The sequence below is a fragment of the Homo sapiens genome, chromosome 4 (assembly GCF_000001405.40).
Source record: "Homo sapiens chromosome 4, GRCh38.p14 Primary Assembly".
Lineage (NCBI taxonomy): Eukaryota > Metazoa > Chordata > Mammalia > Primates > Hominidae > Homo > Homo sapiens.
The window spans coordinates 17,586,051-17,600,832 of record NC_000004.12 but is presented as its reverse complement, the minus strand read 5'-3'; the positions used below and the strand labels follow the sequence as shown (position 1 = coordinate 17,600,832).

Genomic DNA, 14,782 nt, shown 5'->3' with positions numbered 1-14,782 from the left:
TAAAAGTTAGGACAAGTTTTAAAATCAGGTCTTCTATTTCTGAAGACTGTGTACTTCCTCCTATCAAGAGCCTGAGTTTAGAAACTGGTTCTTATTCTCCTCTTGGAACCCTAGCTTCTGGAACTCAGAAGGGGCTCAGTAGTATTTGGGGAACCATCACCTGGTGTGGTCTGAAAGCTCACCCAGAAGGTCACCCTTGCTTACGTAGGGCCAACTTTCCCACCTTCTCAACCCCTCAGACTGAGAAAAAAGTGGGGTAGAATGCTGCTATTAAGCATCTAGGAAAAGTATTCCCCAAGTGGTAATTATGAACGTTATGTTTAAATTGTAGAACTTGACGTATCTGATGTATCTATCCTCTGTGATTCCTCATTTACAGTAAGGGGGTACTCGCTTCACTGCCAGTGCCTCCCCCAACCCCCCACCCTAGAAGCTCTGCTTTTCAGGTAAAGTGTTTGCTAAACTGAATAGATAGACCAAAAACCATGAAAACACTATAATGCCAGCTTTGAAAAAAAACTCTTAGCAATAGACCTGTGGACTATTTTTAGACCTACATACAAAAGGGAACATGATTTCTGCCAAAGTAAAGGCTCAACATGACCAGGGCAAGAATAAAACCAAAGGATAAAAAATGATCTAAATTTTCATCTTAAAAGAGGTAGAGTCTGACTTTAAGATTCAGAAATTAATTTTTTTTAAAAAGGGGTAGAGTCAGGATGAATTACTAGGAAGAGAACATTTGGATGCAAGATTATGAACATTGGGATTTGGCAATAAGACAACACTTGTTTGTCATCCCTTTAGGAATCTATTCCCAGCCCTCCAGGGCTGGTGGTGTCACAGCCTGTATTAAAGAGGCTTTCAAGAAACTCCCTCCAGCCTTTACAGCTCTTCCAAGCAAATGGAATTGTCCCCAAGTACCAATGCTCAAAAGGGCCAAGAAACTTGCCCACGGCTAACTGACTAGTAAGTGGCACAGCTGGGAGTTCCACCTGAGCCTGGCCTTAAAGCGCTGGCTTCACACTGTGTCACTTGTTAAATGAGAATCCTGCTACTCTGGTAAAATGTTTTTATTTCCTTATGACATCAAGTATAAAAAGTTCCAGAAGAAAAAAAAAAAAAAAGTAAAGCTCTGAAAGCTCAGAGGGTATTAGATACATTACAATTAGTTTAAAAAAGTAAAAGAAAGCTATTGACTTGGGGATTTATCACTAATCTTTTCAGATCTGTATCAAATGGTAATTGTAACAGAAACAATCTCTTAACATCATTTATTTTATTTTATTTTATTTTTTAAGAGGGAGTCTCGCTCTGTCACCAAGCTGGAGTGCAGTGGCATGATCTCGGCTCACTACAACCTCCACCTCTGGGGTTTAAGCAATTCTCCTGCCTCAGCCTCCCGAGTAGCTGGAATTACAGGCACGTGCCACACACCCAACTAATTTTTGTATTTTTAGTAGAGACAAGGTTTCACCATGTTGGCCAGGATGGTCTCGATCTCCTGACCTCATAATCCATCTGCCTCGGACTCCCAAAGTGCTGGGATTACAGGTGTGAGCCACCGCTCCTGGCTCTTAACATCATTTTTAGATGTCACTCTAGATGAGCTGATCTGGCGCACTTGTTATTTCTGCTTAAAGGTACAGCCCAGGCTGGGCACAGTGGCTCACTTCTGTAATCTTGTAATCCCAGCACTTTGGGAGGCTGAGACAGGTGAATCACCTTGGTCAGGAGTTTGAGACCAGCCCGGCCAACATGGTTAAACCCCATCTCTACTAAAATATAAAAATTAGGCCAGGCACAGTGACTCATGCCTGTAACCCCAGCACTTTGGGAGGCTGAGGCGGGTGGATCACCTGAGTTCAGGAGTTCGAAACCAGCCTGGCTAACATGGCAAAAACCCCGTCTCTACTAAAAATACAAAAATTCGCCAGGACTGGTGGTGCGTACCTGTAACCCCAGCTACTTGGGAGGCTGAGGCAGGAGAATCACTTGAACTCAGGAGGCCAAGATCACGCCACTGCACTCCAGCCTGGATGACAGAGTGACACTCCGTCTCAAAAAAAAAGTACAGCTTGGAATGTTTTAAAACGACAAACCTAATATTCAAAACATTTTACAACTGCAGAACAATTCCTCTGGTGAAAGATCTTTGAATGCCAATGGACCAAGCCAAATTTTAGCAAAATAATGCCACAAGTATAGTGTGTGAAATCCATGCAACGAACAAGACTTCCTTCAAACAAAATCAAGGCAAGTGCGCGGTCTGACCTGTTAAGGTGGCGGCATTGAGGATGACCTTCGGGTTAAACGTGTGTGCGTAACAGAGCGCATCAGCCAGTATGAGCCTCCCCTCAGCATCAGTGTTATCAACCTGCAGAGGGTCAAAAACAGAAAGGGTGACAGCGCAAGTAAAGAATATGAAAACTAGACACTTGCAACAGTGTTCGACGGAAAAGTTGGAAAAAGCTACTGTGACGTGTGTCATTATCAAACCATTCATACTTCAATGAGAATAGGAACATATCTAATCTGGAGAGCAAATATGATTTAATAATCCCCCAGCACCTTGGGAGGTAGAGGTGGGCAGACAGCTTGAGCCCAGGAGCTCGACACCAGCCTAGGCAAGATGGTGAAACCCCATTTCTAATTAAAAATAAAAAAATAATAATATAATAATCACTGTACCAGAGCTGATGACCTAATGTTGATGACTTTGGAAGCCAAAATAAATAGAAAAATGTCTAGTCCATTTTACCCGTAACTTTGTAACAAGAAGGGGAAAAATGTAAAGATTTCCAAAAATGAGGTTAAAGAGCTTTAAGAAAGCTACAGCTACATGGCAGTCTCAATCCTAGAAATGAAAACTCTTGCAACTTCAGTAACACTTCCTAACTATATTCCTTTCTTTTAAATAGAGGTCCAGTCGTTTTCTGAGTGGCTTGTACACACCTGCATGCACGTGCCACCCAGAGGACCTGCTGCCACATCCCCTTCAGTGCAGGGCCCATGATGTAGGACAGTATGTTCTACCTCAACACCTACAATGGAAAAAAGTCACTCATAGCACAGGTATATCCAGAAGATAGCCCACAATTTTACTGCTTTGCCGCCCTCTGCAGGGCTGGCAGCAAATTCATGGAAACGTGTGTATACACATGTATAGCATACAGGAAATGGGAGGAACAATAAGTCTGGAAAAACATTCTTCAAAATCCCCCAAAAAAGATACTTCTGCCTTTGCAAGAAAAGCTACTCAGGGGCCGGGAATGGTGGCTCGCGCCTGTAATCCTAGCACTTTGGGAGAACAAGGTGGGCAGATCACTTGAGTCTAGGAGTTTGGGACCAGCCTGGGAAACATGGCAAAACCCTGTGTCTACAAAAAGCTAGCCAGGCATGGTGGCACGCACCTGTGGTCCCAGCTACTCAGGTCGCTAAGGTGTGAGGACCACCTGAGCCTGGGGAGGTCAAGGCTGCAGTGAGACATGATCACGCCACTGCACTACAGCCTGGGTGATGCAGCGAGACCCCATTTCAGGAAAGGGAAGGAAAAGAAAGGCTACCCAGCACTAAAGACAGCACCCTCCCCTAATATGGTTCTGGGGCTCTGCACGCATCCTAGCTGTGGTTATGTGGCCACCACGGGATTCCTGAGGAACGCTGGATGGGGAGTGCTGTGTCTCACATTTACAAACCTGGATGGTCTTCCCGTTTTTGGCTCTAACAACATCCCCCGGCTTGTTGGCCTTGCCGCTGGGCATATTTTCACAAAGAGGGGCCAGACCTATTGGAAATAATATATGAAGGCACACAGTATATACTGGGTCCAAACATGCCACCTATGGGACAAGAGGCCACCTGTGAGCCATGAGAAGCAAGACACAAAGGCCACCTTAACGAACTGATCAAATTTAACATCACCAATGACACAACTGACATGATGTGTCAGCAACAAGAAGTACACATCACCCATGTAGCATTCTTCCCAAAGAAGTCTAACTTGATTCTAATCAAGAAGAAGCAATTCAAATAAATACAAATTGCAGAATATCATGAAACAAGCCTAGACCCTTCAAAACTGCTAATGCCGTGGAAGAAAACAGGAATAGGGTCTAGAATCAAGAAATCTAAAGGGGCACCAACAGCAATGTGTGGTCCTTGATTAGTTTCTGGATTTAAAAGCTAAATATAGGCCAGGCGCGGTGGCTCATGCCTGTAATCCCAGCATTTTGAGAGGCCAAGGCGGGCAGATCACCTGAGGTCAGGAGTTCAAGACCAGCCTGATCAACATGGAGAAACCCCGTCTCTACTAAAAATACAAAATTAACCAGGCATGGTGGCGCATGCCTGTAATCCCAGCTACTCAAGAGGCTGAGGCAGAAGAATCACTTGAACCCGGGAGGTGGAGGTTGTGGTGAGCCAAGATCGCGCCATTGCACTCCAGCCTGGGCAACAAGAGCGAAACTCCATCTCAAAAAAAACCAAAAAACCAAAAAAACCTAAATATAAATAAATAAAATGGACATTTTTTACACAACTGGAAACTTGAATTAGGTTACTGAATTAATCCTCGGAAAAGATAATGGTTTTGTCATTACATAGAATGTCCTTTTTCTTAGAGGACGTGTCGTGATGTCTGCAACTGACTTTTAAATAGTTCAGGAAAAAAAAGGACTATGATAGTGAAGGAGGGGGGCATGTCTGAGACCTGGATTCCAATTCTACCTTCCTTGTGCAATGGACAAGAGTCAGGGCATTATTATTTAACCTAAGACTCTCTCCTCCTTCCCCGTCTCCTCTGAAATGAGTATGAGCAATGCTATTATACAAACTCCCAGTACTGTGCCTGGGAGTTTGTATCTTCCATTACTAAGAACTGCCACATAATGAGCACTTTTTCTGTTCTAGGCACTTTCTGTGTGTTGTGCCATTTCACCGGCCACAATCCTACGAAGCAATCAGTCAATGAGCCAGCAACGTCCTGCCACCCCAAGTACCCAGCAAGTTTCATAATGTCAACTACAAACTTGACATTATGTGCCCCTGACTGCTAGCCACTTTTTGCAGAAGTGAAACAAATCAATTCCAGTTACAGCCCACTGGTTGCAAGATACATTTAGCTCAATCAGCTCAGACAGTAAAACACTTATCTGGGCTAAATAGCTACTGCTTGATGACTATTTAAAAATCATTTCTTATCTTTTCAGATTAGGGGAAATCATATCTGTTGTCTCTCTTCTCCCACCTGGCTAGAATCCAGAAGCGTTATGAGATGTAATCCGTTACCCCACTTACCTATAATATTAATGGGCAAATTAAGCTTTGCAGCAGACACGATGGCTGAGCATATAGTTGCAGCTCCTCCCATGTCAGCCCTCATGAGGTCCATATTTGCAGAAGCCTTGATGGAGATACCACCACTATGGGGAAATGGACAACGTGCAATATTAAGAGCAAAGAAGATGGCCAAAATCACTTTATTTAAAAAGTACAGATGGGCACGGTGGCTCACGCCTGTAATCCCAGCACTTTGGGAGGCCGAGGTGGGCGGATCACGAGGTCAGGAGATCGAGACCATCCTGGCTAACACGGTGCAACCCATCTCTACTATAAATACAAAAAAATTAGCCGGGTGTGGTGGTGGGCGCCTGTAGTCCCAGCTGCCACCATGCCTGGCTAATTTTTTTGTGATTTTAGTAGAGATGGGGTTTCACCTTGTTAGCCAGGATGGTCTCGATCTCCTGACCTCGTGATCCGCCAGCCTCGGCCTCCCAAAGTGCTGGGATTACAGGCATTAGCCATCGCGCCCAGCCTTTAGCTCATTTTATTTCTACTTGAATGAAATTTAAACAGTGCCACTGGAAACATTACTATATCATAAAATCAAGACTGTGCAAATTCCATCTCTGTATTGTCTGATTAACTCCTGACACCCACATAGTCTATTCAGCAAATTTTATGAATTGATCAACTTATGGAACGTGAAGGTCATGAGCTGTTAAGAAAAGCTGATGAGCTCACAGAGATGACTGGAGGCATTTCTCTGAAACCGACAGGACAGAGGGCTAACATTTCCTTCCAACACTGCACAAGGTGTGCTATATCCTGCTGATGGCAAAATACAACCTAAATGAGGCACAGGCCCAATGGCTGAGAGACAGTACTTCAACATGAGAACTGAATAAGGCTGCAATTAGCAAGAAACCAAACTACCTGACCCCCAGAGGCTTCTAACTAGCTAGTGGTTTTTCTGCTTCCAGTCCGTAGGAGTCCAGAAGCAACATGCTTCACAGGCCAAGCACAGAGCCAGGGGCTTCGACTCTAAGTTCTAATTGAGATCTGCTGCTCATGTGCCCTGGTGGCTCACTGGAGAGAGGTCTGCCTGCTGCTCTGAAGTCTGCTTTCCTTCAAAATTAAATCCTAATTCTCACTTACCTCAGAAGCACTTGTTACTTAGATGGTTGGCATGTTCACCAAGAATTAAAGATGATCCCCTGGCTCAAAGAAGAAAAATAACATGGGTAAACCCCATGGACAAAGGGAACACGCTGTTGTATTTGAAGTTTTTCTTCTGTCCACCTGCCACATTTATCTGCAGGCCTCTTCTGGAAGTTCTGCTCTCTAATTCCTATGACTATGGTTCTAAGGTAGCCACCAGTTAAAGATCAGCAATCAGCTTTGGCTCACTTTTTCAATCTCTCTCAAATCCACCCACTTATTTTCTACTCAGCCGCCCTCATTGATGCTACTACCCTCTGTCATTTGGATGTTTGTCAGGTCTCCTTAACGGGTCTTTCTGTATCAGTCTCACCACTGTCATTTCATTAACCATAAAAACAGCACATTTTTACACACACACAAAATCTATCTCAATCAAAATCTCAGTAGGTTTTGTTGTGTGAAAAAACAAGCAGATTCACCGAGTGTGGTGGCTCACGCCTGTAATCCCAGCACTTAGGGAGGCTGAGGCAGGCAAATCACTTGAGCCCAGGAGTTCGAGACCAGCTTGGGCAACACGGCAAAACCCCATCTCTATAAAAAATACAAAAATTAGCTGGGCATAGTGGTTCGCATCTGTAGTCCCAGCTACTCGGGAGGTTGAGGTGAGAGGATCACCTGAGCCCAGGGAGGTCGAGGCTGCAGTGGGCCAAGATTGCACCACTGCACTCCAGCCTGGGCAACAGAGTGAGACACTGTCTCAAAAAAAAAAAAAAAAAAAACCCAAGCAGATTCTAAAATGTATATGAAGATGCAAAGGATGTAGCCAAAGTCATTCTGAAAAAGAAGAGCAAAGCTGGAGGACTCATGTGACTAGATTTCAAGCCTACTCAAAGCTGCAGTAATCAAGATATTTGGTCTTCAGGCACTGGTGAAAGGATACAGAGCCCAGAGGCAGACCTACAATTATATGGACAACTGATTTCCACCCGAGGTGCCAAGGTAGTCTAGTGGGGAAAGGACAGTCTTTTCAACAAACAGTGCAGAAGTAAATGAACAGCCACATAGGAAAAAAAAAAGACAAAAACAAACCAGGTCTTTTCACACCATACACAAAGATTCAAAGTGAAGCATAGCGTCAAAATCTAAAACTCACTTAAAATGAAATATATTTTTAAAAAACCTTACAATTCTGTAAAGCCAACACTCCTATAAAAAGGGGCAAAAGATTTGAATACCTTACTACAGAAGATATACCAATGTCCAATAAGCACATTAAAAAATGCCCAGCTTTGGCTGGGTGTGATGGCTCATGCCTGTATCCCAGCACTCTGGGAGGCTGGGGCAGGCAGATCACTTGAGATCAGGAGTTTGAGACCAGCCTGGCCAACATGGTGAAAACCCGTCTCTACTAAAGATGCAAAAATTAGCCAGGCATGGTGGTGTGTGCCTATAGTCCCGGCTACTCGGGAGGCTGAGGCAGGAGAATTGCTTGAACCCAGAAGGCGGAGGTGCAGTGAGCCGAGGTGCACTCCAGCCTGGGTGACAGAGCGAGACTCCGTCTCAAAAAATAAAAAATGACCGACTTCATTAGTCACTAGAGAAATGCAAATTAAACCACAAAGAGAGATCACTGTATACTCACTGGTACAGCTAGAATTATAAAGACTGACAATATCAAATACTGAGGAAGGTGTAGAACAATTAGAATCTTTGTACATTGATGGTAGAAGTGAAAATGTACCCGCTTTGGAAAAGTTTGGTAGTTTCTTAAAAGTTAAACACTCAGTTATTATACAACACAGTGGCTGTTTTCCTAGGTATTTACGCAAGAGTAAGGAAAACACGTCCACACAAAGGCTTACAGATGCTCTTAACTTTATTCCTAATAGCCTAAAACTGGAAACAACACAAATTTCCACCAATAGATGAATGGGTAAACAAAATTTGGCATTTCCATACAATTGAACACTACTCAACAATAGAAAAGAAGAATGGCTGACATGACCAACAACATAGATAAACCCCAGATACTACGCTGAAAGAAGCCAGACATCAAAGACTGCATTTATATGACTTTCCGGAATAGGCAAAACTAATCTGCAGTAATAGGAAGATGATCGGCTGTCTGGAGCAAGGGCAGGTGGGGAATGACTACAAAAAGGCAGAAGGGAACTTCTGGGGGATGATAAAAATGTTGTATTTTCCTGACAGTGGTGAACGGTGCATAGGTGTATACATTTGTTCTTTGGTTTTTAAAATCAATCTATCTACCTATCTAATCTATCTATTTATTTATTTAAAGATGGTGTTTTACTATGTTGCACAGGCTGCTCTTGAACTCCTGGGCTCATGTAATCCTCCTACCTCAGCTTCCCAAGTAGCTGAGATTACAGGTGTATGCCACTGCACCCCCCCAAGGTGCACACATTTGTTAAAACTCATTGAGCTGGCCACTTAGAGGGTGAATTTCACTGTATGTATAAATCTCACGTCATTCTGTTTGGTGGAAACCCTTCAGTTACGGCCAACTGTTCTCAGAGCAGAGTGCAAAAATCTAAGCAGGCCCGCAGCGACCAAGCTTCTGTGTACCTCTCTAGCCGTATCTTGCCCCTTCTCTCCATCACGCTCTTGTGTGCAGGCACACTGGTACTCTTGCCATACCAGGAATTTACCCTGCTCCTTCCCACCTTACAGCCTTCACCATGTTTCCCTGCACTAGAATGCCTGTCCCTAGTCTCTCCTGAGCTAATTCCTCCTGATTCTTCACATCTTCAGCTAAAACTGACACTCCTGCAAGGAAACCTTCTCTAAACCCAAAGAAGGCTTTGGGTTTAGGCCTCTTTGTTTTTATTCTCAGCAAAAATTACAAATGTGGACTTAAATTAACAATAAACTTCACCCTTAGCATAAAAATATTTGTGTCACAATTGGCAAGACATTTAGTCTAGGGCCAGGTGTGGTGGCTCACACCGGTAATCCCAGCACTTTGGGAGGCCAAGGTGGGGGGATCACGAGATCAGGAGTTTGAGACGAGCCTGGCCAACATGGTGAAACCCCATCCCTACCAAAAATAGAAAAAAATTAGCCAGGCGTGGTGGCAGACACCTGTAATCCCAGCTACTCGGGACTAAAAATACAAAAAAAATTAGCCAGGAGTGGTAGCAGGCACCTGTAATCCCAGCTACTCGGGAGGCTCAGGCAGGAGAATCACTTGAACCAAGGAGGCAGAGGTTGCAATGAGCCAAGACTGCGCCAATGCACTCCAGCCTGGGCAACAGAGCAAGATTCCGTCTCAAAAAACAAAACAAAACAAAAGTTTAGGCTGGGTGTGGTGGCTCACACCTGTAATCCTAGCACTTTGGGAGGCCAAGGCAGGCAGATTGCTTGAGCTCAGAAGTTCAAAACCAGCCTGGGCAACATAGCAAGACCACGTCTCTACTAAAAAAAAAAAAAAAAAAAAAAAAAGTTTAACTTTCTAAATTGTGTTTGCTGTATTGTTTTTATAATACACACTTTAGTGGCCAGGCGCAGTGGCTCACGCCTGTAATCCCAGCAGTTCAGGAGACCGAGGCGGGCAGATGACGAGGTCAGGAGATCGAGACCACCTGGCTAACAAGCTGAAACCCCATCTCTACTAAAACTACAAAAAATTAGCCGGGCATGGTGGCGGGGGCCTGTAGTCCCAGCTACTCGGGAGGCTGAGGCAGGAGAATGGTGTGAACCCGGGAGGCGGAGCTTGCAGTGAGCCGAGATTACGCCACTGCACTCCAGCCTGGGCAACAGAGCTAGACTCTGTCTCAAAAAAATAAATAAATAAAATAATAGACACTTTAGTACAATAGTATAATGCATATAACTTATAAAAAAGCATGCATATTTTCAAAGGGATGCACTCAAGATCTTTTACTGATGGGCTATACCAGGAAAACCATTTGGAGATCAATGCTTTAAAGGAGAAAATGTGAACTAGTGGGTGGGAGACACAAGGAGGCACTTTGACCTGCTAACACAAGGAGACCACACTGACAGCAAGCTATGCCAATGACAGGGGCTTCCTACGTCTAGAAGCATTCCAGAAAGGGCACAAAAATGTACAAGGGGACATCAACATCGTATGGTTCTCTAGCAGCATTTTCCAAAGTAGTTTCCAGGTAACATGATTCCCAGGAATCAGGGTTCCTTCAAAAGGAAATACAGAAAATGCTATATTCTGTACCCTGAGAAGTCCTGTAGTTAAGCAAATAAAACAAAAATGAAACCCCTCATGGGTTTCTCTAACCTAGTTTTTTTGCTAAGTAGCCCTTTTTACGTCTCATACTCGCTGGCATCCCTGAAACTTGTGTTTGGTGGCAAATGCTTCCCATGGGAAATACCAAACTCCACTATCTTTCTCAGTTCAGCCTCTCCTTGGCTGAAATAACCAGATACAGTTTCCAACTCTAAGAAATACTTATGGTTGAATAAGATTAATGGGAGCTAGACTGGTCAGCTAAAAGAAGTAATCATCTGAAGCAAGCAAAGGGAAGACAGCATAATACAAACAGGGGCATCACCACTAACCTCGTGGAGAATCTTTAACAGCCACAGAGGACAAGCAAAGTGCATGGCAGAAAAATCTGAAGACACTTTAGGCAGAGCACAATGGCTCACACCTATAACCCCAGCACTTTGGGAGGCTGAGGTGGGAGGATTGCTTGAGACAGCAGTTTAAGACCAGTTTGGGCAACACAGTGAAAACTCATCTCTATATTTTTTTTAAAAAAAGGACACGACACACCTGAGTTTGACTTCGGACTCCACTTACTAGTTATAGGACTTTGAACAAATTATTTAAACTCTGAGTCATGGTTTCTTTACCTGGAGAATGTCTACAATACCTAGCCCACAGGGGTATGGTTAGGGCTAACACATGCAAAATACCTGATAGTCTCTGACATATTCTAAGCATTTTAGAGGTGGTAGCATAATAAATTTAAAGTAATGTATACCTTCAACCAAACACCATGCTTTTGTATCAAACTATAAACCGGCCAGGCACAGTGGCTCATGTCTGTAATCCCAGCATTTTGGGAGGCTGAGGTGGGCGGATCACTTGAGGCCAAGAGTTCAAAACCAGCCTGGCCAACACGGCAAAACCCCATCTCCACTAAAAATGCAAAAATTAGCTGGGTGTGGTGGTGCACGCCTGTAATCCCAGCTACTTGGGAGGCTGAGGCACAAGGATTGCTTGAGCCTGGGAGGCAGAGGCTGCAGTGAGCCGAGATCACGCCACTGCACTCTAGCCTGGGTGACAGGGTGAGACTCTGCCTCAAAAAAAAAAAAAAATCAAACCAAAAAACCCTATAACCAAGTAATTAAACTGCACACAAATAATTCACCAAAATACAAAGCACGGACACCATAAAAAATACCTGTCAAAGGTAATTCCTTTCCCAACAAACACCAGGGGTGGTTCGTTTGCATTGGGGCTGCCTTTGTAGTGAATTTCCAAGAAGACTGGGGGCTCGTCAGATCCTTTGGCCACACTGAGGAATGATCCCATTGCCTGTTCCTCAATCCAAGACTTGGGTCTATAGGGTAGAAAGAGGGAAAAAGTAAATATACTGTTACCTTTATTTCAAAATAACAGAAAAAGCTCATCACAGTGTGTGAAAAAGTATAATATACAAACTCTTAAAGTATACGCACATTAAGGTTTCAATTATCAGGTCCCATTATTTGCTTTCTGTATATTCTTGGGCAAGTCACTTGATTCTAAGCCTATTTCCTCATCTATAAAATGAGGTCTGTAATTCTTCCATCAAAAGATTATTGAATTACTAAGAGAAGTCATGTGTGGTACCTAATACAATGTCAACTAATAGTCTACAGTCTATATAATTAATTTCCTCTCTCCAATCTACTCAGATATTTCTACAATTTTAATTTAAAGATGAAGTTAGAAGGCCGGGTGCGGTGGCTCATGCCTGTAATCCCAGCACTTTGGAAGGCTGAGGTGAGAGAATTGCTTCAGCTCAGGAGTTTGAAACCAGCCTGGGCAAAAAAGTGAAACTGTCTCTAAAACAAATAAGGTAAGATATAATAAAGATGAAATTAGAGGCCAATGAAGGAGGATCACTTGAGGATAGAAATTTGAGACCAGCCTAGGCAACAAGTTGAGACTTGGTCTCTACAGAAAAAAAAAAAAGAAAAAATTAGCCAGGCATGTTGGTGCCTGCCTATTGTCCTAGCTACTGCAGAGGCTAAGACAAGAGGCTCGCTTGAGCCCTAGAGGTCAAGGCTGCAGTGAGCCACGATCTCGCCACAGCACCCAACCTGGGCAACATAGCAACACCCTGTCTCTTAAAAAAATAAAATTAGCAATAGGCTCTGAGACCACAAAGAGTGCTTAAAGATAGGTAAGGGGTCCATTGCTTTATTTCTAAAAATGAAAAAAAAAAAAAATCAACCAACAGACAGCAAACCAAAGCTATATCCCAATGACTGGAAAAAAAATATCCTATTTATTTGCTTTTTAAGAACTGTTGAATTCTATCTTTTTAATGTTGTCACACACTGTTTCTCACAGTTTCAACTGTTGCTTGAGGCATCTTTAAGTGAGAAAACTAGTTAGTTCTTACTTAATAAACATGGGATCGGTGGGGTAACAGAATGGAAACAGTCCTTAGTTCAAACTAGAAAACTGATGCCATATTGCTCTTCTTTCTAGGCTAGGAGCACAAAAGGGCTTTGTATTGATTTCTGGCCACGGTAACTAGGCCAAGAAAGAAATTCTATCCTCCTGCAGACCAGCAACAACCACAGCCAAGGAATGCTCCTCCGGCATTTGCCATCCACTTGTTAAAATGATTAAACTAGGACTGCATCATGGTGGGATGACCAGCACACTTCAAAGGGAAAAAAATTTTAAATCGGAAGATGAAACAGTTTTAAAAATCACTTCAAAAAAAAAAAAAAAACAACAACAACAAGGCTGTGCAATGTGGGCATTTTAAATCATTAACTCAGTACTTGATGTCTGATTAAAGTCCTGCCCTTGTGGAAGAACTGCCTGTGTTTCTCTGATATACACTGACCTACAATGGAGAGTGCTTAGCGCGGCTATGTCTCAGTTTAACGAGTCATACCCCACCCATGCGTCCTGCCTGGTCTCTGCTGAACTCTTTTCCCTTTGCTCGGCTACAAGTTTTGCAGCTTCCTCACCTGAACTGTCCTGCCCCACTCTCTTGTACTGTAACTTCTAAGCAACCTGCAGGACTCTCCTTAGGCTCCAGTCTTTTTTTGAGACACAGTGTCTCTCTGTCGCCCAGGCTGGAGTGCAGCGGTGCGATCTCAGCTCACTGCAACCTCCATCTCCCAGATTCAAGCAATTCTTGTGCCTCAGCTTCCCGAGTAGCTGGGATCACAGGCACGCACCACCACTCCCAGCTAAGTTTTGTACTTTTAGTAGAGATGGTGTTTCGCCATGTTGGCCAGGCTGGTCTTGAATTCCTGACCTCAAGTGATCCACCTGCCTCAGCCTCCCAAAGTGCTGGGATTACAGTCATGAGCCACCATGCCTGGCCTAGACTCCATATTCTTATTAAAATTTTTATTTTAGAGATGGGTCTTGCTATGTTCCCTAGGCTGGCCTTGAACTTCTGGACTTGACAGACCCTCCTGCCTGCCTCTTGAGTAGCTGCAAATAGAGGTGTGCACAATCGCACCAGCAGCTTCATATTCTTTGGCAGTCCCCCTCATCCCTCTGATCCTGCAGTACCCTCTGCAAATGCCATTTACCTCCCTATTCCTTCTTACAACATCCTCACTTTCTGCAAGGACAAGGACCACTTCATGCATCTTTGTATGATAAATTCCAGGCACACCAGAGGGGCTGTCATAACCACTATTTGGTGACCAAAAAGATACTTTTATAGAACCTAAACATTGCTATAGATTAAACATATACTAACCATTCCAGAAATTTTATCAAGCTCTAAGTACTGTGCTTTCTACAGACTATTAATTTTTCTTCACTCTGTCTAAACCATAGATGCTTTCCTGAAAAACACGAACTCTAATCACAATTAAGTACTAAAGAATTCTTTTAAATGGAAGTACCCTTGGGAAACAACTTTGACAATAAAGAATTCTTTAGGTCAAACAAATACCTGTTCATTTGTTTTAATTATAAATTCCCAAATGCTCAGAGTTGGTTTGCTTAAAGGGCTGGAGATCCCAAGAGAGCGACGGAACTGGACGAGCAGGCTTTCAGCTCCAACAGCCTCCCACTGACACAGCATTCAGGGACACCTGGGAGCACCAATGCTGGAGTCTAGGCTAAGGGAATCTATGAGGC

The 14,782-nt window shown here is 43.6% G+C and overlaps 1 protein-coding gene and 1 long non-coding RNA gene across 3 annotated transcripts in view; one reads left to right on the top strand and one right to left on the bottom strand.

Annotated features, from left to right (window-relative positions):
* MED28-DT (MED28 divergent transcript) overlaps positions 1–14,591 on the top strand; it is a 28,339-nt gene extending 13,748 nt beyond the window's left edge. Inside the window, exons 3-4 of one of the 2 annotated variants that reach the window (NR_186330.1) lie at positions 12,352–12,515; positions 13,154–14,591. This is a non-coding gene — a long non-coding RNA (MED28 divergent transcript). The remainder of the gene's footprint in view (positions 1–12,351; positions 12,516–13,153) is intronic. The other variant, NR_186331.1, reaches the window with a different exon arrangement.
* The window catches only part of LAP3 (leucine aminopeptidase 3), a 30,773-nt gene that overhangs the window by 7,138 nt on the left and 8,853 nt on the right, over positions 1–14,782 (bottom strand). Inside the window, exons 7-10 of the mRNA NM_015907.3 lie at positions 11,856–12,014; positions 5,299–5,423; positions 3,699–3,787; positions 2,275–2,377 (exon numbers count right to left, since the gene is read on the bottom strand). Of these exons, the coding sequence (NP_056991.2) occupies positions 2,275–2,377; positions 3,699–3,787; positions 5,299–5,423; positions 11,856–12,014 (476 nt within the window). The remainder of the gene's footprint in view (positions 1–2,274; positions 2,378–3,698; positions 3,788–5,298; positions 5,424–11,855; positions 12,015–14,782) is intronic.